Source organism: Homo sapiens, chromosome 2 (genome assembly GCF_000001405.40).
Source record: "Homo sapiens chromosome 2, GRCh38.p14 Primary Assembly".
Classification (NCBI taxonomy): domain Eukaryota; kingdom Metazoa; phylum Chordata; class Mammalia; order Primates; family Hominidae; genus Homo; species Homo sapiens.
In genome coordinates, this window is record NC_000002.12 from 101,024,928 (window position 1) to 101,051,312 (window position 26,385).

The 26,385-nt window shown below is 47.8% G+C and overlaps 1 protein-coding gene across 3 annotated transcripts in view, besides 3 other annotated features; it reads right to left on the reverse strand.

Annotated features, from left to right (window-relative positions):
• Positions 1–26,385, reverse strand: part of TBC1D8 (TBC1 domain family member 8) — a 144,155-nt gene that overhangs the window by 17,700 nt on the left and 100,070 nt on the right. For 2 of the 3 annotated variants that reach the window (NM_001102426.3, NM_001330348.2), the window contains exons 5-15: positions 25,474–25,714; positions 15,251–15,458; positions 13,534–13,728; positions 12,605–12,781; positions 11,091–11,241; positions 8,617–8,831; positions 7,341–7,458; positions 4,564–4,849; positions 3,376–3,505; positions 3,121–3,219; positions 2,456–2,524 (exon numbers count right to left, since the gene is read on the reverse strand). In NM_001102426.3, coding sequence (NP_001095896.1) covers positions 2,456–2,524; positions 3,121–3,219; positions 3,376–3,505; positions 4,564–4,849; positions 7,341–7,458; positions 8,617–8,831; positions 11,091–11,241; positions 12,605–12,781; positions 13,534–13,728; positions 15,251–15,458; positions 25,474–25,714 — 1,889 coding nt within the window. The remainder of the gene's footprint in view (positions 1–2,455; positions 2,525–3,120; positions 3,220–3,375; positions 3,506–4,563; positions 4,850–7,340; positions 7,459–8,616; positions 8,832–11,090; positions 11,242–12,604; positions 12,782–13,533; positions 13,729–15,250; positions 15,459–25,473; positions 25,715–26,385) is intronic. The other variant, NR_138475.2, reaches the window with a different exon arrangement.
• Positions 19,194–19,363: an enhancer, noted in NCBI's record as "active region_16298". NCBI's record gives its function as "activates an Ori minimal core promoter by ATAC-STARR-seq in GM12878 lymphoblastoid cells {active_cell/tissue: GM12878}" and the evidence as "EXISTENCE:reporter gene assay evidence [ECO:0000049][PMID:35858748]".
• Positions 20,110–20,611: an enhancer, noted in NCBI's record as "H3K4me1 hESC enhancer chr2:101661499-101662000 (GRCh37/hg19 assembly coordinates)". NCBI's record gives its function as "activates a minimal SCP1, AML or CMV promoter by ChIP-STARR-seq in naive H9 embryonic stem cells {active_cell/tissue: H9 hESC(naive)}" and the evidence as "EXISTENCE:reporter gene assay evidence [ECO:0000049][PMID:30033119]".
• Positions 21,669–22,213: an enhancer, noted in NCBI's record as "H3K27ac-H3K4me1 hESC enhancer chr2:101663058-101663602 (GRCh37/hg19 assembly coordinates)". NCBI's record gives its function as "activates a minimal SCP1, AML or CMV promoter by ChIP-STARR-seq in primed H9 embryonic stem cells {active_cell/tissue: H9 hESC(primed)}" and the evidence as "EXISTENCE:reporter gene assay evidence [ECO:0000049][PMID:30033119]".

Below are 26,385 nucleotides of genomic sequence, written 5' to 3' on the forward strand. Positions count from 1 at the left end.
GCCCTACAAGGAAACTGCAATCACTAAAAAAGTATGAGAAAAGATCTATAGATTCTCATCTAGAACAAAGTTCATCATACATGGTCAACTGAAACAAACAAACCTGCAGGTATTATATATACCATAATCTCACTTCTATGTGGGAAAGAAAAGTAAGTGTGTGTGTATGTATTGTAGGCATGTGTGTATTTATAGATAGATACAAGAGGGAAAATTCTGGAAAGATACGCACATTGTTAACCGTAATTATCTGTACAGGGAGGGTAATACGGGCACAATAGGCCCTTTTTTTTTTTAATTTTTATTTATTTATTTTGAGACGGAGTTTCACTGTGTTGCCAGGGCTGGAGTGCAGTGGCTATGATCTTGGCTCATTGCAACCTCCATCTCCCAAGTTCAAACAATTCTCCCGCCTCAGCCACCCGCGTAGCTGGGATTACAGGAGTGCGTCACCACGCCCAGCTAATTTTTGTATTTTTAGTAGAGACAGGTTTTCACGATGTTGGCCAAGCTGGTCTTGAACTGCTGACCTCAAGTGATTCGGCCTCCCAAAGTGCTGGGATTACAGGCGTGAGCCACTGCACCCAGCTACTTTCCTTTCTTGCTTAGAAGCTTTGTTTTTCTTTTTTCAATGGTAAGAGAAAAAAATGGTTTTTTCTTTTTTTAATGGTAAGGTATAATTTTATTTAGCTTTGTGTCTTTCAATTAAACTTTGAAAATAAGTCTTACGCAGAACATGAAAGGAAGCAAAATAACACTGAAGAGACCAAATGCTCTCTAGAGCACAATAACCCACCAACACTGGGTGAATTTCACTGCTTAGCAGTAGGAACGCGTTTGTGGAATACACAAGGCGCCGTTTCAGGCCCCAATGGCTCCAGGAGTAGCTTACGCACCAAGTCTGTATTTATACTGTTCACATCCTACTTGCAGAGATAAAGTAATGAAGCTGTTCTCAATTTGACAGAAAAGGAGATATCACAGACCTGAATTTATGTGATTTAAAGAATGGCTTTAAACTAACAATAAAAATAAATTTCCTCAAGTACCAACCAACACTGTTGGTCCTTCATAGGAAGGATAAAAACAGGAAACAAACATGGTTGGCTTTGAAGGCCTTTTTTAATCTTTCCTATGAAACATGAACGATGTGGCTGGTACTTAACAAAATTTGTTTTTATTGTGAATTTAAAGCCATCCTTTAAATTACATAAATTCCGACATGCGATAGTTCCTATTCTCTCAACCTGAGAACAATTAGCCCTAAATAAATCAAAGTCTTTTTAAGGTAAAAAACACAAGCCAAAACTCACATAATTTGTTTGCCTACTTTTATGTTCCTGGTATTCCCTGTTTTCCTTCCTTGAAAGCCAAAATGAGGCGGGGGTTGGGATACCAAGTAACCTTTGACTTCATAGTTTGCCTTCGCACAACAAAGGAAACAATAAAACTTGCAAACATGATGTGTACGGGAGAAAGCGGCCTGCTAGTTCTCACCATACATCCTGCTCATTAGGAATGAGGAGTGAGGAACCTACTAACTAACCCAACAACCCTGCAGTCACTGACTGCGGGGAAAGGCCTGCTCCATGGCTTCCAAAGCCCTGGACTCTGCTGACTATCACTTCAATCGTGCTGGGAACCTGGGCTCAGGAGGGAAAGGGGCTTGGAGCCCCCACCAAGACGAGCTGGGGCAGCCACACCCCCTTCCCTGCCAGGCTTGCTTTCTGCAACTGCGCTTCCTCCCCGTCTCTGCCAGGGTAGCAGGAGTCCACAACGTGCCTGCCTCTGTTCCTAATTTCCATTTACTGTTTTGAGCAAGAAAACTCTAGTAATGTGCCTGAAGATGTTCTTTGCAGGATGATTCCAGGTAAATATCCAAATATTAAAAATCTCATTAACTATATTAAGTTTTAGCTATATGACAGATCACAGAGTTATTAAAAATGATTAAGACTATACGGCAACATGGAAGAATGTTAAGGAAAAATAGAATATGAACTTGAATGCATATCTGCCACACAAATAGGAAAATATGCATGCATGTACTGTGGTGTGGGATCACAAGTAATTAAAAAGTATTATCAGGTGATGATTTCAAAAAGGGTCACCGCAGGACCCAGAGCCCGCACTCACTAGAGCAGCGGTGAGCAGAGTAGATCACAGCACCGAAGCCCTCCCAGCAGAGTGCAGCAGCTTCAGCGCGAGGCCAGGCCTGCTGGGCTGCCCAAAGAGCACCCCAGCTCCCTCCTCCCATGTTCTAGGGTGGAGGGTGGGGAGAGAGGTTTCTGGGTAGAAGCAGGTAGGCAGGCTAAGACAGCTTCAAGGGGGGCAGCTCCGGCCTCTGCTCCACGGAGCCCTGCAGGCAGCTGCATGCTGTCCCCTGGGCAGGCTGGGCACCGCGGCTCAGGCCAGCTCAGGGCCTGGAACCCCTCATCTTCCCAGAGCTGCGTACCTTGAATAAGTCGTAGAGCTCCTCTAGGTCTTCAGGAAGAATTGAGACTTCCGGGATAACGACTCGAAGCTTGAGGAAAGAATAAACAGCAATGGCGTGAAATCTAGGCCTGCACCCCCAGGGGTCAGGGCAAGAGGGGACTCTTCCTCCTGAAGGGGACACAAGGAGCCCATGCACCAGCTTCTCTCCCACAAAGGCTCTTTTCTGACATAAAGATCACTTCCAGGTATCTTTCCCAGGTGTTTCATCCTTAGCCTCTTTCCAGTTCACACATCAGTGCCTAAGGACAAACCTACCGAGCTCTAATGGAAGCCAGGAAGCTAGCAGAGAAACAGCATGAGCAGGAGGAGCCTTCTGAGCGCCAGCTAATGCCCCTGCGGGCCCCCTGTGCTAGGCATTATAGACCCCAACCTCATTTAACTGCGCAGCAGGCACTGTTATCCCCATTTTACACGGGGGAAACAGGCTCACAGTGTTGAGTACACTCACCACCTGGCTCCAAAGCTCACATTGTTTCTACACTACTTCACCCTTAAGTTGTTAATGTAATCCAAAATATATATATACATTTTTCAAAGCTGGCATTCTTATGACCAAAAAGGATGCGCACTCCCAGGTTGGCTCCCCAATACCGTGATCACCGGGGTGAGGCGTCTGCTACCCACCACGTTCTGCTTTGTGGTGTCCTCGTGGCCTTGGAGGACCCTGATCCTGTGCTTGTAACGTAGGTGCTCGATCTGCTCCACAGACTGGTCTCCAAATTTCTGCAGGGAAAAAAGGGACCACTTGCTCAGTCCCCTGCTCATCCAAAGTGTGGAAACAGGAAGTGGCCCAGGAACCTCCTTCCACATCCATCCCCCAGTCACAATTCCCGGGGGGTTAGGGGCTGCAACGGGGCATGGGGCGGGGGTTCCCGTTACCTCATAGGAATCCCGGATCAGGTCCGAAATATCAGTCACAGGGTAGGGCTCCTGGTCGTCGGAGAAAAAGGCATGGTGGCTGCCAACTGGGGGCCCTGGGCTGTCCTCATTCTTAATGTGATCTAGAAACCTGAACACACCGCCCCGTCAACGCCCAAGTCCATCCTCATTCGGGTACCACAACACGGGCTGCCTTCACAGTGTCAGACATGCCAGGGCACTTCCAAACACCAACACCTGGGAGGAGGGCAAGGCTGCAGCTGCTCGGCTTATTTTAGAGAAGCGAGAGGCAGTCATGAAGCCCGGCTTGTGGATTGGGCTCCACAGGTGGCTTTCCAGGCCTGAAACTCTCCAGTGAAGTAAGCCCAACATTCTGCGCATACATGCAAGGTTAAGCTTCCATCATGCTCTGAAAGAGAACCCCCTCTTTCAATGTCATCTGACTTGCCCTCAGCTCCTAGAAAGCCCAGCTCTGGCGCTCAACCTAGTGGGCCTTTTCCCTCACTGCTGCTCACTAGCCTTATGCAGAAAATGTCTGCAACCTCTAGCTGGCTGCCTGATGCCCATGATGCCTGGTGTCCCCCGAGCCCTGTTCAAGGCCACTGTGAGTCCATCTAAATGCAAGACATTTAATCTTCTTAAAGAAAAGCATCTATGGCCCTGCTCTTCCTGGAGTTTCTCACTGTGGAAAGGAGTGAGGGACAATGGCACCCTTCACCCCATGCCTGGGACAGTGCCACATGGCAAACTGGCTTGGGAGGCCACAGAATGTCAAGAGGCTGAGACGAACAGAAAACTTCCACAGGGGCCAGGCAGTGGCTCACACTTGTAATCCCAGCACTCTGGGAGGCCGAGGAGGGTGGATCACTTGAGGCCAGGAGTTCGAGACCAACCTAGCCAACATGGTGAAACCCTGTCTCTACTAAAAATACAAAAATTAGCCGAGCATGGTGGTGGGTTCCTGTAGTCCCAGCTACTCGGGAGACTGAGGCAGGAGAATCATTTGAAGCTGGGAGGCGGAGGTTGTAGTGAGCAGATTGTGGGGTGCCACTGCACTCCAGCCTGGGCAACAGAGTGAGACTCTGTCTCAATAAAAAAAAAAAAAAACTTCCCCACCGATAGCCCTGCTGGGCACGTGCTGCTGCCTCCTCCATCTCTGGTTGGCCACAGAGGTGCAGCGGGGCCCACCTGCTGAGGATCATCAAGGCCTGGCCATCATCCTTGCTGCTGCACAGGTCCTCAGCATTGGCCTCAAGCACAGCCAGTCCCAGCTGGAAGATGGCTTTGATGCCATCATAGAAGAAGCAGTCTACCACATTCACCGCACTCTCTAGAGGCATGATGCTGAGGAACAGGGTCAGGAACCACGAGAGAGAGACGGACGCCAGGGCTGAGAGGTCGTTCATGTGCTCTGCCAGCTCTGGGAGATGACCCTTGATGAGCTCCTCGAAGACAGACTGGTCAACTTGTGCCCCTGGAAAAGAAAGGGCACAGGGCTCTGGCTGGGGTAGGACTCACTCTCTAAGGTCAGTCTGAAATTAAAATCACTCTGAGGTAACCAGAACAAAGAGATGGAATTTGAGTCCAGAAAAGCGTCCATGCTTAGTTCATTGATTCTGACTTTTAGACCAAGGTAATTCAATGGGTAAAAGATAGCCTTTTTAAAAAAAATACTGCTTGATCAGCTGGAAAGTGGCATGGGGGAAATAAAAAAGGAACACTAGCCCCTACCTCACACCATACAGAAAAAATATATCTGAAATAGACCATAGACCTACATATAAAAGTTAATACTGTAAAATTTTTAGAAGAGATTTAAGAAAAATACAACATTTCTTATGACATAAAAAGTACTAACCATAGAAAAAATTGTAAACTGGACTTCATCAAAATTAAAACTGCTGTTCTCTAAAAGACACCATTAATAAAATGAAAATGCAAGCTTCAAACTTGGAGAAAATATTTGCAATCCATATGCCTGACAGAGGTCTTATATTCAAAAGAAAGAACTCTTGCAACTTAGTAAGAAGGTAACAACCAACCTTTTTTAAAGAGGCTAAAGATTTAAACACTCAGAAGAGCCAATAAACAAATGGTCAGGAAGCAAAGAGACATCATTAATCATCAGAGAAATGCAAATTAAAACCACCATAATTATACCACTTCTTACCCACTAGATGCCTAAAATTAAAAAGATGAACATTACCAAGTTTTAGCAAGGATGTGGAGCAAGCTGAATTCTCCTACAATGCTGGTATGAGACAAATGAACATGTTACATCCACTCTGGAACACTGTGAGTTTCTTATTAAGTCATACATCTAACCTATGACCCCACAATTCTCCTAGGTAAATACCCAAGAAAAATGACAGTATATATTCATAAAAAGACTTATATGACTGCTCATTGCTACTTTATCATATTCCAAGACTGGAAACAACTCAAATGCGCATCAGCAGGTGACTGGACAAGCACACCAGTGAAATCCTACTCAGCAACAAAGAGGAGCAAGCTCTACAAATGCACCAACAATGTGGCTGCCTCTTACAGATGCTCTGCTGTGTGACGGAAGCCAGACACAAAAGACCCTGTCCTCCATGATTACATTTATACAAGGTTCAAGAGTAGGCCAAATTAACCCATGGTGATAGAACTCAGTACCAGGTGTTGCCCATGGCAGGAAGGGGGCAGAAGAGAACTTGCTGGGGTGATGCATGTGTTCCAATGGTCCCCTCCTGTCTTGGGGCAGTGTCCACACAGGCACGGGCACTCTCACAGAAGGTCTAGCTGGCACTGTTGCATATGAGCTGTCACATAGCAACAATCATCAACAGTGGCTTTGACAGCATGTCCCTCAATGACGCCGAGCTTTTAATTACTCCTTGCTACTCTGTTCCTTACACCACTTCCCACAACACAAAGTAAAAAGGGAAGCAAGCCAGCTAGCCACTCAGGCACACGAAGGAGCCGGTGTGCACGGCTGAAGGCTCAGGAAAGGGTACACCTGGGCCAGAAGGCACAGAGCCATCACTGCCTTCCCAGCTGACCACACCACCCACCTGCCCCTCCTTATTCCTAGAGGCCACCCTTCAGTCCTTAGGACACAGTCTTCAAGGGCGCCTTCTTCCCGCCTTGCTCCTATATCCACTCGGTTGCTAAATTCTGTCTGAAGTTGGTTCTGTTCCCAGGGCTGCCACCTTAATTTTAGGCCAGCTCCATCTCTCATCTGAATTACTAAGAAGAGTTCTTAAGAGCATCACCAGCCCAGAACCATTTTTGTATTGTTTACTAGGAGGTTGCTGGACTACAGAGACAGCACACATTTAAATCTCAACCACATGAAAGTCAGGTACCCAGTGCAGGAGCGTTGCAAGGCCACAAGTTACCCAGAGTCCAGATAGCAGCCAACGAGCTTTCTTAAGATGTCCTTATGGAAGTGGAGGACTTTTCCAAGTCTGCCCTTTAACTGACCACATGGGCCTTGAGGGTCTCTAATTCCATCCCACCTACCTCCTCTCTCTAGGGCAACCGAGGGCCTCCTGTCTGAACAAGCTCCCTGAGCTACCGAGAGGCATCCCCCCAGGCCCCCACCCTCCCTTTCCAGGCCATGGCATCCATGTAAAACCACCCTGGTTTTCACTTTCTGACTTGTTTCTTGGGCCTTGGATCTTTCTTCCCTTCTTGTAAGTTCAGCTATCCATCTAAAATTATGTGTTTGTTTTAATCCCGACTCTGTAGGTCTTTATAGCAGGAATGTGTTTGAGTTTCTTTATTCCACTACATTGTCAGAACTGTGCAGAGAATGTCCCGAGTTAGTTTTGCAAATTCAGGAGTCAAACTGTGTTTGCAAACAGACTAGCTGAGTGGCACTGAGAGATTTTATAAACAGGACTGATGAGAAACATCCTGCCCAGGCTCTGTCACTCTTCCCCAGATACACAGGAGGAGGAAGGGGGTCTGTTTACCGATCACTCGGTGGTTGAAGTAATCGGGCAGCATCCGCTCACACACAGCAACCAACAGCCAGAAGGCTTCCTCCTCCTTGGTGTACAGCAGCAGCACGGAGGTCAGGATGTTCATGGACTGCTCGGGGGTCAAGGAGGGCAGTTACTGACTGGCCCATGTGATGCCACAGAGATGTTACAAGCATCCAAGCCCAAACAACCCACAAAAGTAAAGATTTCATAGGTGAGAGATCCAGCATACACCAACCACACTGACACTGTACAGTGGAATGACCGTGACAGCAACACAGTCCTCACAGGACACGCCCAGCTGAGCGATCGGCCACCACTCAGCTCCGGTCCCCATCTAGCAATGTGGAATTTAGCTGTGGTGCAAGTCTTAAGGTTGGTTTAAATCCAGCTATTCGCTGTTTGTTCAAGCAGACACACACATGCACACACGTGCACACACAAACTTAATTCGCTCACTGACTTTGCTTATTCACAGGAAACAAAGTTTGAAATCTTAAATTTTTAAATGTCAGGAGCTTCATTAATCCCGGCTTGTGCTGGGTTTGGCTGCTGCTTTAATGGACTAATTTTCCTTTTGTGCCTGCTGACCACACCCTCAGCTCGGGAAAGCTCAGCAGACATCTCACCTCCACTCATGTGTCCTAAAGGAAGGGGATTGGCCCTGATCATCATCTTCCTCCCCAAACAGCACTGCCATTTTAAATCCTGTAATTTCTGTAGAGGTCTAGAAATTCTATTAATGCCCTCCTACGTCTGAGCTCAAGAGGGGTGTTGAAGACTGAATCTGCCCTGCCACCAACAACCACTACACATGCACGTTTCTCTTTTCAGGCACTCGGTAAATTTTTTTTTTTTTGAGACAGAGTCTCGCTCTGTTGCCAGGCTGGAATGCAGTGGCATGATCTCGGCTCACCGCAACCTGCGACTCCCTGGTTCAAGTGATTCTCCTGCCTCAGCCTCCTGAGTAGCTGGGATTACAGGCACGCGCCACCATGCCCAGCTAATTTTTGTATTTTTAGTAGATGGGGTTTCACCATGTTGGCCAGGATGGTCTCGATCTCCTGACCTCATGATCCGTTGATTATAAGATGAGTAGTCCCTTTGGCCCTCATTTGATACTTTCTTTCCGGAAAGGGACCGAGTACAGCGCCTTCACACGACAACACTCAGGACCAGATGACTGGGAATGCAAATGAAACCCTGGGAAGGACAACATGAGACACCAACTAAAGACTCTCTGCGCCCCAGAGCACACCCCTTTCACCTGGCAGTATCCAATCTTGGGGTTCCGGTGGGCATAGGCCGTCAAGACTCTCCTCAAAGCAGCAATTCCCGTTTCGTTCTGGAAGGCGGGGTGCTCTGGCAGGGAGCGGTGCAGGTCTCGTTCTATCTCCTCGGTTACCAGGCAGCATTTCCCCAGGGACTCCTCCACCAGATTCCCGTAGTAACCAGGGTGTGAGGCAAGATCCGTCACCGCATCTGAGTTTTAAAAGCAATGTTTCAAGGGGGAATGATTACTAGGATGGTGTCATGATGAAGAAGATGCTGGTCCCATCAGGGGACCCCAGTGGGGTCTCGTTACTTACTGAGGGACAAAATATTGGCCGGGTGCGGTGGCTCACGCCTGTAATCCCAGCATTTTGGGAGGCCGAGGCGGGTGGATCACTTGAGGTCAGGAGTTCGAGACCAGCCTGGCCAAAATGGTGAAACCCTGTCTCTACTAAAAATACAAAAATTAGCCAGGCATGGTGGTGGGTGCCTGTAAACCTAGCTACTCAGGAGGCTGAGGCACAAGAATCCCTTGAGCCCAGGAGGCAGAGGTTGCAGTGAGCTGAGATCACACCACTGCACTCCAGCCTGGGCGACAGAGTAAGGACTTCATTTCTGCCATGTAGCCTAGTCAAAAAAACAGAAATAAAAGAAATAGTATGGCTTTTCTAAGAATAACCTTATAGAGCGAAGGGGAGAAAACTCATAATAGAAATAACTGTATTAATATGCTTTTAACACACTGTATTCCCTAGTAGCAGCAGTGTGCAAGCATGCACATACACACACGCAAATTTCATGCATTAATTCAACAAGAAATGACACCAAGCACTGATGCGTGAGGCACATCAAGGGGGCGCAGCTATGACAAAGCGAAGGGGCCAGCAGCACGGCGCCCACATGCAACTCTGAAGTCAGGTCTGAGATGCACAAACTGCAGCAGAAGTGCCCAGCCCAGAAAACTCCTGTGCCAGCCACCCACAGCCAGAGCTACAGCCCAGGCCTCAGCGGGCGGGCAAGATGAAGGGATGAATGCGTCCCTTATGAAAAGTGTGTGCAAGTGTGTGCACGTGTGTCTGTGCAGGCATGTGTGTGTGCACGTGTGTGTGCATATGCGTTAGAGAGACCTAGAGGAATGCAGACCTTGGGCAGTGACACGCCTCACAATCAGGTGGTGGGATTCTGAGGAAGGTCACTGTCTTTGCTCACTCCTCCATGCCTTTATTTTTCAACTATGAATGTATGTTGTCATTTTTATATACAAAAATACAGAAGACTTTTTCACTTTTAAAAGGAGGTGTTTCAACACTGCGCCTCTGGAAGTTAGCTGCAGAAGCCAGGAGGCAGGAAGGAGATGAGGGGCGCAGTGGTGCAGGCAGCATCAGTGACCACTGACCACACCCAACACAGTGAGTGTGCCAGGAAGCATGAAGGCTGTGTCTGGGCATCTCGGGCAGGAGGTTGGGGGCTGGGGGGGAGACAGGGAAGAGGAAAGTGAGGGACAAAGTTGGGGGATAGACAAGGAACCAGAAAGAGGCTGATAGTGAAGTAGGACAAGAGATGCTTCCAGTCCCAGGAAGAGTAACGGAGCAGGGCACAGGTACCCAGCCCAGCCTCCAGGCGCCTCCCTGCTGACAAAAGCGCCATGGGGTCATCTGGGGAAGGGACCCTCTCACCTGGCCTCCCACAGCACCCTGAGGAGCAGCAAAGGCACACTCCAATGGCAGGGCCTTCCCTTCCTACCCTCGGGCCCAAGCTCCTTTGCTCCAAGGAGCAAGTCGCTCACAGTTGATATGGAGGGACAGACAAATGCCTACCCAGTATGTCCCTGGGGAAGTTTGGTCCCAGGCTCAGCCCATCCATCATTAAATGTCCTGATGAGGGTTCCCAGGCGTTCCCCAATGGGTGCAGTGAGAGGCCCCGGGGCTCTGAAGCTAAAAGAGGCCATCCCTGAATGGGTCCAGCAGAAAAGAGGAAACGGAACAGAAAAGAAATCTGCACTTTTGCCTCTGGTGCCCGCCATGTGTCTTCACTGGAGGAGGGACTCATGGCAGCCACACTCTGAGGGATGTGTTTCAGCAGCCCAGCCAGTTGACAATGGATGAGGATGTTCTGTTTCATCTACTTCAGAGCTCACACACTATAGACACTTCACTTCCAGGGGGTTCTGAATAGAATTCTCAGCACTATGTAGAGCCTCGTGAAGGCATTTTTAAAAGAGTGGCCGTCACTGTGCCCAGACCTCGCATTTACCCAGTTGGACGCCACAGCCCAGAGGCCCAGGCAGCCTGACCCAGGTCCCACAGCTGACACAACAGGGAGTGGAAGTCCTCAGCTGGGAAATCACAGGAATGACTCAAAGACAGAACCATTTCATCTGCACATAAACACACGCGCTGCTCGGGTCCGGGCTGTTCCTGTGTCCATGACAAAAAGAACAATTAGCTTCGAGACACCAAGAGCGCTTACCTGAGAAGAGAAGCCAGAGTCTCCCTCGCAAAGATTCAGGGATGCCCATGGCTACGAGCTTCCGAATCTTCTCTGTGCGAAACATACACACGGTTCTGCCGTATTCCACAAAGTGGTCATTCCACAGGCTTATTTTTATCTGTTCTCTGGACTGGAAATGGGAATATTCTTAATGTACAAAGAAGTCTGTCCTCACCACCCCCCACCCACCGATGCACCGCTGGCAATGGAGGAAGTACTGCCCCTGCTCTCCGAGGGGCCAACAGCAACGGGCAAGGACACCTGTATTCAAGCCGCAAATATTTCTGAACCTTTACTGGGGGCACAGAGGATGCAAAGATGAATAACACAGGGTAAGGCCCTGCAGGAGCTCAGAGCCCAGTGGGAGCATTTATACAAATAAAATACGATTTCCTTAGCAAGGCTGATAACAAGGGTATGTGAATCCAAGTATTAAAGTAGCCCAAATCAGATGGGAGGGAGGGGTGGGTAAGGGGGACGCTGGGGGAAGCTTTCTCTGGATGTTGCATCTGCCAAAAAGACACTGGTCAGCTCAGAGGGCAAAGGGGAGTACAGGGGCATCACAATTTCCCCTGAGCTTCCTGACAGCCAGAGGGAAAACTGAAACCTGAAAAAAACTGCATTGTTCTCATTAACAGAAATGAGAAAGATACCATTTCTCTAGGCAACTGAAAATACTTGAAATTACCCCTAGGTGGCAGGAATGTTTAGTGCCTTTTAAACTAGGTATTTACATTTGCTTTTAATTATCTGTATTCTCCAGTAATGGCAGAAATAAATACATATATTTAACATTCTCATACATTTTGTCAACAAAAGTTAATTAAGGATCCGGGTGTAAAGCCTATGAGAAGGCTCAGTTTTGGATAAATAAAACCAACAATAGATTTTACAGGAGCCATTAAAGCGACCAAAAATAAGCTCGGGTTAACAGGTTCATGGCCACTGCCCAGTGCTCATGGTCCAGCGCAGCACCCTGCCTGCCATGGCCCCATTTCAAAGCACAACTTCCAGTATCTTTACCAGACTATACGTGACATTTCCCTCAAGTTCTCCCTACAAAGAGGAAATCTGTAAGTAAATATAGCAAAAATATTTCCAGTTTAGTAAAACTAGAAGACTGGTGACCTCTTCTCCCAGAAGACAAAAAAAAAGGAAAAAGGAAAGCTATAACGCGGGGCACACAGACAGCACTGGCTGGAAGGAGAGGAACCCATTCTGTGCCTGGAGACCCCCAAGGGGCAGCGCGGCCAGCTCCGCAGGCCCCACAGCTGAGAGCTGCGCGAGGTTTACCGAAGGGTGGGTGGGAGAGCAGCCCCTCAGTCCTCTGACCACCTCAGTGGTCACTTTTCACCCATGAGAACAAGACGGAGGAGGAGCGTTAGCTTCCCAAAGTCAGGTGCCACGTTCCATGGTGACTCAGACAGCTGGGCAACCCCCCCAAGCCCACGGCTCAGCTTTGTGGTCCAGCTTGGGCACCAGGCGTCACCCACCATTCGGGAGTCAGGGCTCTGGCTGCCTGACTGCTGGAAGGCGGTGACCAGGGCATCGGGGTGCATCAGCGGGCTCTTCTCTTTCTCACTCTCCTCGCTATTTTGAGAAGACATCATTTCAAGATCCCCAAATCTGTGGTCACTGCACATGCTTGTTGAATGAAACACGAGTGAAGCCTGCACAGCAAGAGAGACAGAGACAGAGAGAGAGAGGAGAGGAGAAAATCATGGCTTTAGTCGAGGGGACAGTCTTTGTTTTGCCTTTGGATGCACGGGCATAGCAGACTTCAATGACTCAGGGGGAAGACAGACTGACGCCAGACCAGACAGGGCTCCTAGGAAGACACAGTCCCACTGCATGCTCCGGGTGAGGCTGTCCCGGTCCCCAGAACCTGGGTCCGTATCTGGGTCCATATGCAGTTCCTCATGGGCAGCCCCAGCCTCCCCTCAGCTTATGGACAGGAGGACGGCCACCCTGAGAAAGCAGCCCTGGGGCTGAGAGAGGCTGCACCTCCTTTTCTCCCCATCACTATTTTGGGTGAAAAGAGGTTGAGAAAGAGAAGAGACATGAAAAAAGGAGACCAGGCCCCAGCCACCCCGGGACCACCTCTGCAGCTGCCCAACCTCAGGGCCGACAAAGCTCCTCTTTTAGCAGGTTACACGTGCCTCCAATCAGGCCATCCTCAAACCTCAGGAGCAGGGATAGCAACCCTTCTCACCTGTGAGGGGTGACCCCGTCACCCCCTCCAAGCTGTGGGGCAATTCCCCACACCCTCTCAGGACAGCCGGCACATCAGAAATGACAGCAGACCACACACAGGCCCCGCATTCTTCTCATCCCCACATGGCTCTCCCCATGTGTACTCCCCTTTGGAGACCACGGCCTGAGACATGAAGAAGGGGATCATCAGGGTCTGGAGGGACCATACCATGTCATCATCCGCAGAGGTGTCGTAGTGCACGGGGTGGTTGGCGTGGACCTGCTTCAACCTCGCAAGCAGCGCCTCCACCAGGCTGTCTCGGTCCCGGAGCTCAATGAACTGGAAGGCCACCTTGCTTCTGATACTGACAATGATGGGATGCGGCAGCAGGCTCGTGTCCTCCATCTTCTCGATGCTCACCACCTGCGCGAGAGGCAACATGCAGGGACAGAAGGGCGGGAGGAAGGTAGGCATGTTATTACATATGCAGAAGATGTCCCGAAACAGAGGGCAAGGCACAATCACTGCAGAAAGGAGATGATGCAATGGCGAGAAAGTGGCACTGCTCACCCCCACCACAAGGGGAGGCTGTGCAAGGCTGCATCAAGGGGCGACTGGATAGCAAAGTGTGGTCTATCCATACATCGGCGTATGACCCAGCCTTGAAGAGGAGGGGAATTCGGACAGAGGCTCCAGCATGGATGAGCCCCGAGGGCATTATGCTAAGTGAACAAGGCCAGTCACAAATATTGTATGAATCCACTCATATGAGGTACCTGGAGGAGTGAAATTCATAGATACAGGAAGTAGAAGGATGGTTGCTAGGGGCTGGGGGAAGGGGAAGAGGGAAGTTGATTTATGGGGACAGTGTTTCCATTGTCAGTGATGAAAGAGTTCTGGAGATGGATGGTGCTGGGTTGCACAGCAATGTGAATGTACTTAATGCCACTGAGCCATACACTTAAAATGGTTTAAATGTCATTTCTGGTTAGGTACACATTACCAAAAAAAATTTTTTAAGCATGTAAGTTGGCTCCTAGATTTCTTGCTCCACTAATAAGTAAAAATATTTGTAAAATGAAGACATCTACTACAGAATAATAACATGGAGTTAGGAGACCACAAGGAGTAATCCCAGCATTGTCAGAGGCCAAGTGGGAGGATCGATTGAGCCCAGGAGTTTGAGACCAGCCTGGGCAACACAGTGAAACCCTCCTCTCTAAAAAGAAGAAAAAAATAAGAGTTTTGAGTTTTTCCAAAGAAGAATGCTCAGTACGTTTGTTATCAGAAAGAAGAATCTGGAGGTCCTGACGTGTAAACAGAGTTGTGGGTACCATCTCACCAGAATTGCTGCCCTGAAGCCAAAGGACTGAGCTGCTCAGATCTGGAAGTAATCTGAGCCCCCATTTCCAAGAAGAGAATTGCAGAATTTTATAGGAAGAAGGGACCTGATCCCTGTCAATGGAAGCATTTTAAAATTTTTAACTGAAGTTCCAGGAGCATACAAAAGCCAGGCAATTTACCATTTATTTTTAAAAGGTGATGCTTTTTGTAGGTTGCTTTTTTTTTTCCTTTCTTTTTTTTGGTGAGTGAAAGGGGAGGATTCATTCCTAGGAGCTGCTGGAAAAATCTTTAATTGCTAGGTATGTACTTTTTAATAACAGCTTTATCAATAATGTGGAGGTTAGAGTCCCCTGTTTTCAGCAGTCACTTGTTGGCAAATTTCAGGATGCCATAGCAACAGCAGAAAAAGCAATGGCCGAATGGGTAATGGTCCAATTCAGGCCATGCCTCCCTCAAGAAGCCCAGCCTTGGAGTCATCCATCTTTAGATGGCAAAACTGTGCCGTCTGAACTTCCCCTCCCACACTCCATCTCACAGCCAGCAACCTTGTGTTCAAACAACAAAAGGCTGCTTCGGGAAGCAGACAGTAGGGCCAGTCTACCTCTCTGAGTGGCAGGATGATCTTACAGCAGCCATCTTCTCTGCTGGCAAAGCAGATGTAGCTGTCAGAGGCGAACATCCGCCCCGTGGTGTGACAGCGACTGAACGGCGTCCAGAGCGAACAGTCCACAACCGCGTGCAGCTTCTCCTTCCTCGGCAACCTGAAGAAAGCCCGGAAGAACTCATTCTGTGCTCTGGCTTCCAGGTCCCTGGGGAAGGACAGGGAGAGAAGAAGAAGAGATAGGAAAGGTGAATGGACAGCCAAGATTACAAAGGAAAATACTTTTCCTTTTTTGTTTCATTTTATTTTTGAGACAGAGTCTCGCTCTGTCGCCCAGGATGGAGTGCAGTGGTGCGAGCTCAGCTCACTGCAACCTCCACCTCCCAGGTTCAAGTGACTGTCCTGCCTCAGCCTCCCAAGTAGCTGGGATTACAGGGACGCGCCACCGCGCCCGGCTAATTTTTGTATTTATAGTAGAGATGGGGTTTTGCCATGTTGCCCAGACTGGTCTCAAATTCCTGACCTCAGGTGATCCACCCACCTCGGCCTCCCAAAATGCTGGGATTACAGGCGTGAGCCACCGCGCCCAGCCAAGAAAATACTTTTAAAGCCACTGGCACAATTTGTATTTAAGTGAGTGCAAAAAGGCACCATGCATGTCCTGTGCTGGTGCACGTGGGCATCCCACATTCTAACTGCATGGCCAACCTTCAGAACAAGGACGCAGAGCAGACGCGCTGTCTCTGCACAGCAGTAATTTAATAAACTCACAGGCCAAATAAGCATTCCTTCCTGGTTTGAGTAACACTGAGAATTACCAGAAAAACACTTGCTTAAGAATCCAAGTTTCAAAAAGTTTGATAACAAGTGGTGAGGAGGATGTGGGGAAATTGGAACCCTACCGCACTGCTGATGGGAATTAACATGGTGTGGTCATGTTGGTAAACAGTCTGGAAGCTCTGCAAAAGGCTAAAAACAGACTTAACACTTGACCAAGAAATTCCACTCCTAGGTAGATATACCCAAGAGAACTGAAAACGTGTGTCTTGCACACGAATGTTCTTAGCAGCATCATTTATGATAACTTAAAGGCAGAAATAACCCAAGTGTCCATTAACTGATAAGTGGATAAACAAAATGTAGTGTATCCATACAATCAAATATTGTTCAGCCATAAAAAAGGAATGAAGTACTGATGAGTGCCACAACAGAGATGAACCTTGAAAATATTATACTGAGTGAAGTAAACCAGACACAAAAAGACGACATACTGCCTGATTCCATTAATATGAAATATCCAGAATAAGCAAATCTCTAGAGACAGAAAATAGATTACTGATTGCTCAGGGCTTGGGGGAAGAGAGAGAAATGGGAAGTGACTGCTCATGGGTACATGGTTTCTTTTTCTTTTTGGGGTGATGAAATGCTCTAAAATTGATTGTGGTGATGGTTGCACAACTCTGTGAACATGGTAAAAACCACTGAATGGTACACTTTTAAAGGATGGATAATAATTACATGGTATGTAAATTAAATCTCAAAAAAAAAATTAAAAAATTTAATGCGGCCAGGCACGGTGGCTCATGCCTGTAATCTCAGCACTTTGGGAGGCCGTGCAGGTGGATCACTTGAGCTCAGGAGTTTGAGACCAGCCTGGACAACATGGCAAAACCCCATCTCTACAAAAAAATACAAACATCAGCTGGGTGTGTTGGTTCACACCTGTAGTCCCAGCTACTCCACCGGCTGAGATAAAAGGATCACTTGAGCCCAGGAGATAGAGGTTGCAGTGAGTCGAGATCGCGCCACTGCACTCTAGCCTGGGCGACACAGTGAGACCCTGACTCAAAAAAAAAAAAGTTGAGATGCATATCTGACACACAGTAAGTAATCAATAAACATTAGTTATTATTATTATCTTTTTAAAAATATATATTTTAAGAATCCAGGTCGGGTGCAGTGGCTCATGCATCACATCAGTAATGACAAGAGAGAATGTTGATGAGGAGGAAAGAAGGATCCTAACCCCCAGGCAACCCCACATATCCTGATTTTTGGCTCTGAAACCAGTAAAGAAAGCAACCAAATCACAATGTTTGAAAATACTGATCAAGTTATGTCATATTCCAAAATTCTAGTAAGGGGGAAATTCCAACATACAGAGGGAAAGATTCTTCTCTTGCACTTTATAAAGTTCCTTATAAATATAAGGATGAAATTAGCACTTGCTTAAAGTCAGGAATATGAATTCTTGGCTTGCTTATGTACTCTGTAACCCCGAATGAGACTCTCTGTATCTCATTTTGATTGCTACAAAATGGGAATAATGTCTGAATGCTCTGCTTCAAGGGATCCCTGTGAATCTAAAATGATCCCCACAATATGGTAAAACAGAAACTAGGCATAGTACCTACAGTATGATCCCTTTACATAAATTCCTTAAAATTTCCAGACAGAGATGTGTACAAGGGCTTTATCTTAAGTGTTAACAGTGATTGTCTTTGCATAGTGGGACTTCCACTTTCCAATTTTATTTTGCTTACATTTTCTACATGACTACATATTAGCTTTAAAAAAAAAAAAAACCTTAGCTATTTTCTTTAGGGAAAAGTACAACTTTTTGAAATGTTACCTAAATGCCATAAACGCAAGATAGTAAACTCTCAACTCTGGAATCGGCTGCACACAGCTCAAGTGAGCTTTTCAGGCACGATCTGGTTGTGAGGCCCCGGAGATAAGACCTCACCTCAACCATGCCAGGCTGGGCTCCCGGACACACGCCTTTTCTGCAGCCCTTTCTGGTCTCATGTCCACCATCACACAACTGACTTACAGGCAGCAGCCATCACACAGAGATGGCACAATCCATGGAATTTACTATCCAGCCCTCAAAAGGAGAAAACACAGAGAAAGTCCTCTGGACACATACAGAAATTAAATTCTACAGATCACAACGGGTCCAGTTCCTGGGGGCCAAAGCTGCAGTTCCTTAAATGCCTGATACAACGTGGACTACTGTTTCCACGGGCGCCTGAGCTGCCTCCAGAGAGGAGCTGGGAGAACACAGGAAAAGCACCATAAACGCTCTACCAGTTCATACACCGCAAGAATGGAAGGCAAGGCCCCTCAAGAGGACCCCAAGTTCCCCAAGCTGACTATGTCTGGTGCATTTAAATTGGAAAACTTCCATCCTTGTCCTCAGAGCGTGCTGGCTATGTTAGCTTTAACGAAAGTAAAATCAACCCTTACTCCCTGCACGTATCTCACAAACGTGGTTCTAGTCGCCAGTGAGTTCACCTGTCATGTCAGCCTTCCTTCCTAGCTGGGCATCTCTTTCCCCTTAGGACATGGCTGAAGCCAAAGTGAATACATGGTGAGTATTCAAATCACAGAAGCTTGCACTGAGCCACCAGAAGGGTGGGAGTACTTGTATTTACATTTATTTTGCACCGAATCCCTCAAATTAAGAATAAGGTGTTCCAGGCTGAGCGTGGTGGCTCACACCTGTAATCCCAGCACTTTGGGAGGCCGAGCTGGGCAGATCACGAGGCCAGGAGTTTGAGACCAGCCTGGCCAACATGGTGAAACCCCGCCTCTACTAAAAATACAAAAATTAACTGGGCATGGTGACGGGTGCCTGTAAACCCAGCTGCTCAGGAGGCTGAGGCAAGAGAATCGCTTGAACCCGGGAGGCAGAGGTTGCAGTGAGCTGAGATCGTGCCATTGCACTCCAGCCTGGGCAACAAGAGCAAAAGTCTGTCTCAAAAAACAAACAAAAAAAAAAGAATAAGGTGCTCCCGTATCTGAGGCAACTAAACCATTTTGTTCTACCCAGTGCACCTGCTGCCTGAGTTCAATCGGCTTCTCTCTCAGTGGCTTCAGAGCAGCCTGGGCAAGCTGCACACAGTCTCCATTCCCCTTTCAGGGCTGTCCTCACTTTCCCTGTAGACATCTGTCTTTTGCACATTTGGGTAGCCAGAGACCAGAAACCTCAAGTTACAAACAAATAAGCAACAGGGGGGACTTTCCTAAGATCTGAGTTAGTTTCCTTCCTCCCTACTAGAAAGTTGTCTTCCAATTTCACCATTCGTTAAATATGTATTATATACAAGATAGTTAAATTTCCAGCATAACTGAGATGAAGATATCGTGACTTTGAAAAAATGAGAAATCCTCGAGAAATCAGCTCTTTATGAAGTTTAGAATAAGACCATCCTATCCTTTAGGTCTGTTTCAAAGCAGATGTTAGTTTTGATGCTAAATATATCAACTCCTTTTACTGAACACCATCAACAACAAAGCCACTGCTCACAGCCCGCTTCTCAGACTTTCCAGTACTTCCTAAGTGCCTTCACTTTTCCTCCGTAGAGAAGAACAGACATTGGTGATGACCTGACATTCAGAACGTGGCCACACAAGCCTGTAGGTCACCGCAGAAGCACCCCTATGAGGATGGAGACCATCCCAGCTACCCCAGCTACACCTACCCTCCAGTGCTGCACACACAAGCCAAAGCAATCACTCTAAGAGAGAGCTACAGCTAAGACTAGTGGGAGAAAGCGCCACCAATCACCTTTTTGTTTTTGTTTTTGAGACAGTTGCACTCTGTTGCCCAGGCTGGAGTGCTGTGGTGCAATCTCGGCTCACTGAAAGCTCCACATCCTGGGTTCATGGGATTCTCTTGTCTCAGCCTCCTGAGTAGCTGGGATTACAGGTGCCCACCACCATGCCCAGCTAATTTTTGTATTTTTAGGAGAGATGGGGTTTCGCCATGTTGGCCAGGCTGGTCTCAAACTCCTGACCTCGTGATCTGCCCACCTCGGCCTCCCAAAGTGCTGGGATTACCGCGCCCAGCCCAACCACCCTATCTTAACACATGCCATTGATGAGACTGTAAGTAAGGAGGGAATAAATGTGGGTCAACCCGACTCTGGAACAACAAACATCAGATTTGTTGCTGAAGCTTAAATTAATATGTGCAATAATGCAAGACAACTATGCAGAAGATTCTAGAAAAGTTACACTTACACATTCTTAAAAAAATTCAGCTTAATCCCTAAGAGGACCCAAGAAGGTATGTATTTCTTTTATTTCTCTGCAAATCCAGAGTTATATTTGTCTCTCCTACTTTCGGTAAAGATGTATCAAAACAGGTTTCCCTTTCTCTCTCTGTCTCCCCATCCACCCACTAGAATGCTTTGGGAAGAACCCTGTCTGAGCTACATGCCAACTCTTGCTCCCTCTGGTCATTCGGCCCGCATCCAAGAGCCTACTGTGTGTCGGCAGGCTTAACGTTGCTTCCAGGCTTAACGCGTCCCCAAACTCAGGCTGCGTGACAGGCCAGGGCAGCTTGGCTCTCCCATGCTCAGCATGCAGGGACTTCCCATGTGTGCACTAGACAGAAAGCCTGGAGCCATGGCTCCTGCCCTCTTGGATAAGGGAGGGCAAACTCAGTCCTCTGCGGTGAGTTTGCCTCATAAAGGAGCACATAAGGATTTCCAGTGGCTCTACGTGATGTGCTCCCCCAGAGACCCGTGGCTGGGAGGTGGCTCCCGCCTGTCATCCCAGCGCTTTGGGAGGCCGAGGCGAGAGGATCACTTGAGACCAGGCGTTCAAGACCAGCCTGGCCAACATGGCAAAACCCCATCTCTACTAAAAATACAAAAATTAGCCAGCATGGTGGTGCACACCTATAATCCCAGCTACACAGGAGGCTGAGGCAGGAGAATCTCTTGAACCCAGGATGTGGAGGCTACAGTGAGCTGAGATCACGCCACCGCACTCCAGCCTAGGCAACAGAGCAACATTCTGCCTCTAATTAATTAATTAATTAATTAACTAAATCAAATCAAATCAGGGAAATATCAAGCTTTCTGAATCTAAAAACAAGGCCAGATCCACGTGCTTTTCCTCAAAGCCCAAGTCTGTATATAAAATATTTCATTTCTCAAATGTGTGTTTACTCAGAATACCTTTCTTCTGTGACCCCCCCAGGAGTCCTAAGGAAATGTGGATGAAGCTGCCATGCAGCTGCTAGGACACACTGCAGCCCACGGCCACTAGGCTCACCTGGCTGTCAGGCGCCAGCACAGGCGGTCGGCACGAAGGGCCCCTCATTCCTTTGGAAATCCGTCTGCACTGAGCACCTAAGAGACCAGGACCCTGACAACACAGGGCATCCTTAAGGCTCTCTGACGCTCAGAAAAAGGCTCATCCCTCCATCCTCTTCCTCCTGTCCTGTCCTAGAGAGAACCACCTAAGCCAACCTGCTGACAATCACCGAGCAGCTTGGGGACTGGGGTTGTGGAGGGTGAGACATGGGCCTTCTCTTGCAAGGTGGGGCCTGTCAGGCTGCGGGAGCCCCTGGGAGATGTCTTAAGTGGGCCAAGAGGACTCTGAGGCAGAGGAGGACTCGAGCTAGAATTAGAGGGATGAAAAGTCAAATAAATTACACAAAAGCGGTCCTAGTGGGAGCCGAGAAAGAAGAGCAGGAAAAGGGAGAGTGGGGGGAGGGGAGGAAAGGGGAAGGCCAAAGAGGGTCTGCAAAGCCAGCCAGACCCGAGAGTTCAGAATCCGCCAGGCCATGAGGGACCAGGTTTCCCTGCTGAGGACACCTGCCTCTGGGCAGCCGCTATTCATCTTTATAAACCGGCGAAAGAGCCTGCCTCGTGGGAAACAGAGTTTCCATTTACTACACCGCTTTAATTCAGCTCTCCTCCAGCATCTTCAGCCAGTCAAAACAGATTGTAATTTGATTTAATGAAGCCCATCACTCTCCAACTACCCTCCCCAAAAAAAACAGCCGAATACACTTTTTTTCACCCCACCATTCCCAACTTTGGGATACATCTTTTCTGTTTTGAGATTTCAGGATGGTCTTTTTTCCTTTCCGCTTCCCTCCCTCTGTTCCCTCTGTGGGCAGCTCCTCAGTCACTCTGCCCTCTTGGACTCCGAGGCTATGATGCAGGGATCCCTGGCCCAGGGCCTCCCCTGCGCCCTGTGAGGGCTGAGCCAGGTGACTCCCACGCCTGGCAACTCCAACCAGCCCAATCAACCGAGGGTGACAATGCACCCCCTACCCTCCCTGCTCCCAGGGGAGCTACGAGCGGCTCCGCACTGTGGCCATAAGTCCTGCTGGAGTGGCCACACATGGCAATCATGACTAATTGGCAATCTGAGGCTCACCCGGCTCGTGACCCCAAGGGCACCTTTCTGCAGCCATTATCTGGGAAGGGAAGGGAAAAGGGACCAACCAAAGAGAGCCAGGGAGCGAGCATGAAGAGACTGTTTTCCCCAGTTTTCAAACCTGGGCTCTCCTGGCAGGGCTTCAAGAAGACTGAGTCATTACCTGTCTATACCCACAGGCCCACGTCTCCATGACAAATGCTACAAATGAGAACTGGCCAGGAATTGGGAGGCAAGGTACATACATGCCTTTCACTTTCTGAGAAAGCTGCTGAACCTGCAGTCAACAGCTTGGCCCAGAGGCCTGCAGCCCCATCACAGGGCCAGCCCCACGCACCTGCAGGCACCCTGGCAGCTCAGCCCTGGCCAACACCAGGCCCTTTTTAGCCTTTCCTCTCCCCTCTTCTTTCTGATAATTCCCAGGGTAGAAGACAGAGGGGGAATGTCTTGTAGAATCTCCTTGAATTCTGGAATGTAAATGAAGGCTGCCAACTGATGGCTTTTCTCCAAAACCAGTTCTCTTACCACAAGGGATTTGGTGCTACAGACCTTCAATGTATTCTTTCCTCCCTTCCACCCAAAACCAAAAAACACCACATCTGGAAGTGGAGCTGTGCCGGGATATCAGTAGATTTGGGAGGAATCACCGGAAATCCCAGCGCTGTGGGGCTGGCCAGAACAGCTGCTAGCAGGCCTCCGACTCCTGCAACTACACGGTTGCACTCACACGCCCATGTGCCCCACACACACAGGGAGAGGGGGAGAAGCTTCAAATGGTGCTCCTGTGAGCCCTCTAGCAACTCACACAAGCCAGGCTTGTTGCTTCGGGGCTTCCTGCAACTTTCCCATTTTTAAGATATCTTTGTAAGCTGCACTAAAAGGACTCAGATACCAACTACTGTAGAGGCATTTGAAGAAATACAGGAGGGCATGGCACACACTGTACTGGACTGTCTTGCTTTTAAAACAGGTGCTCCTAAGATGGAGGCTGAGAGACCATCATGGGGAGCCTGGGGCTGAGAGGTGCAGGTCCAAATCCCAAAGGACACTGCCCCAAGCGTGTCCTTTCACAGGGGGCAACGAGCACCCCCTCACCCTCCATCTCAGATTATCAGAGGTGGCACAAGACCATGTGAAATTCCTTGGAATCTTAACCAAAAAAATCAAGAGCATTTGTGTTTGATTTCACCTAACTCAGGACTACACATGATCCATTTTAAAACAAATGGACACAGTAGGAAGGGGCTTTGAATTCTTTCTGAACACATCAAACCCTCAGCATGCTGCCGTTCACAGGCCATGAATGGACACTCTCTCCCCCACACATTGAGAAAAGACAGAGGACAGTGCATGGATTTCAAGAATAATAAGTCTTTTTAAAAAAAAAAAAAACACTATATTATTACTGAACACTAACTTTAGAGCTTTGAAGGAACTTGGCATGTCATCCAGCCCAAGTATGGCAGACTAAATCTCAGAAAAATCACATTTGAATATCAGTATTTGTCTTTTCACAACTTATTTCACTCAATATAATGTCCTCAAGGTTCATCCATGTGGTAGCATGGGTCAGAATTTCCTTCCTTTTCAAGGCTGAGTAATATTCCATTGTGCAGCTCACATTTTGCTGATGACTTCATCTCTTGCTGGACACTCAGATTGCTTCTACCTTTTGGTGACTATGAATAATGCTGCTGCAAACACGGGCATACAAATAGCTCCGAGCCCCTGCTTTCAATTCTTTAGCGTATATACCCAGAAATGGAATTGCTGGACACTAGGATAATTCTGCTTTTAATTACTTTTGCACCAAGATAATAAAAAATAACTAGTGGTTCTTTAAAAATTAAAAATAAAAACTTTGGATAATAAAGTTGAACTTCCTTAAAGCAACAAACAATTCAAACAACTATCTCACAAGTCTCTAGGATTAGTATCAATTTGTGGCAAACAAACCACGTAGCATACTGACTTACACTATTAGTGAGGCATATTTCTGATGACGAAGTGGTACCAAAAATAGGTCCAGCTGTCCTGAAAATGTTTTCTACAAACTAATTTCCTGTGAAAAGACAAAATATGTCAGCCAGGCACGGTGGCTCACACCTGTAATCCCAGCACTTTGGGAGGCTGAGGCGGGTGGAACATGTGGTCAGGAGTTCAAGACCAGCCTGGCCAACATGGTTGAAACCCCGTCTCTACTAAAAATACAAAAATTAGCTGGGCGTGGTGGTGGGCACCTGTAGTCTCAGCTACTCGGGAGGCTGAGGCAGGAGAATCGTTTGAACCTGAGAGGCAGAGGTTGCAGTGAGCCGAGATAGCACCGTTGTACTCCAGCCTGGGGGACAGAGAGATTCTCCATCTCAAAAAAAAATAAAAAAAGAAAAAGAAAAGACAAAATGTCTTAATGTTCACTAGCAAAGCACAGTGCTCCACAGATTTCTATTATGCAGCTGCCCATGCTACATGTCTTTTTTTTTTTGAGACGGAGTCTTGTTCTGTCGCCCAGGCTGGAGTGCAGTGACGGCATCTCAGCTCACTGCAAGCTCCGCCTCCCGGGTTCACGCCATTCTCCTGCCTCAGCCTCCTGAGTAGCTGGGACTACAGGCGCCTGCCACCACACCCAGCCAATTTTTTTGTATTTTTAGTAGAGACGGGTTTTCACCATGTTAGGCAGGATGGTCTTGATCTCCTGACCTCGTGATCCACCCGCCTCAGCCTCCCAAAGTGCTGGGATTACAGGCGTGAGCCACCGCAACCGGCCCTACCCTTACTATATTTCTAAAAGCATTCTTCATGAAAATCAGTTTTGAAATAATATCTGAAAACTTGAAGTCCACTGCATAAATGAAATGAGTAATCATCATTTCTGTCATATCTCTGTCGAGATTAACGACATACAAAAATCTGGATTATGCCACAAGGGAAATTTAAATCTAACATAACCAAGGCTAACAAAAGCACTTGTACATAAGGGATGGGCACAGCTTATGGGTCCCCCGTGCGGGTGGGAGACACTCTAGAACAGTCACTTTCACCTCTTGGTGATCTGGCTCGGCTCCTGCAGATCGGGGTCGAGGTCAAAGACCTCATTATCCAGCAGCCTTCGCAGCGTCACGTCGGCCAGCTGCTCCATGACCTTAAACACCTCATCCAGGTTCAGGAACATGGAGAAGTCACGCTCCTTATTCTGCGTGGTGATTCGGATGGTATCCGTCAGAAAGACATTGGACGTTCTTTCTAATTTCTGGATATCAACCCACGGAACCACAAGTTTAACTGTAAGAGAAAAGGGTGAAATACCTATTATGCCATGAAATTTGAGCCAAACTTGAGTGTGTCAGCAAGCAACTATCCAAAGCTCTCCTTAGGCCGATGTGTAAATGCCTTTTTAAAAAATCTTTTAAGTTCAGGGATACAGGGATACACGTGCAGGTTTGCAATACAGGTAAACTCATGTCATGCGGGTTTGCTGTACAGATTATTTCATCACCCAGGTGTTAAGCCTGGTACCCATTAGTAATTTTTTCTGATCTTCTCCCTCCTCCCACCCTCCACCCTCAAATGGGTGCCTATGTCAGTTCTTCCCCTGTATGTGTCCATGGGTTCTCATCATTTAGCTCCCACTTCTAAGTGGAAACATGCGGTATTTGGTTTTCTTGCGTGTTAATTTGCAAAGCATAATGGCCTCCAGCTCCATCCATGTTCCTGCAAAGGACATGAGCTCATTCTTTTTTATGGCTGCATAGTATTCCATGGTGTACATGTGCCACATTTTCTTTATCCAGTCTACCAATGATGGGCATTTAGGTTGATTCCATGTCTTTGCTATTGTGAATAGTGCTGCAATGAACATACGCACGTATGTGTCTTTATGGTAGACGATTTATATTCCTTTGGATATACACCTAGTAATGGTATCGCTGAATTGAATGGTAGTTCTACTTTTA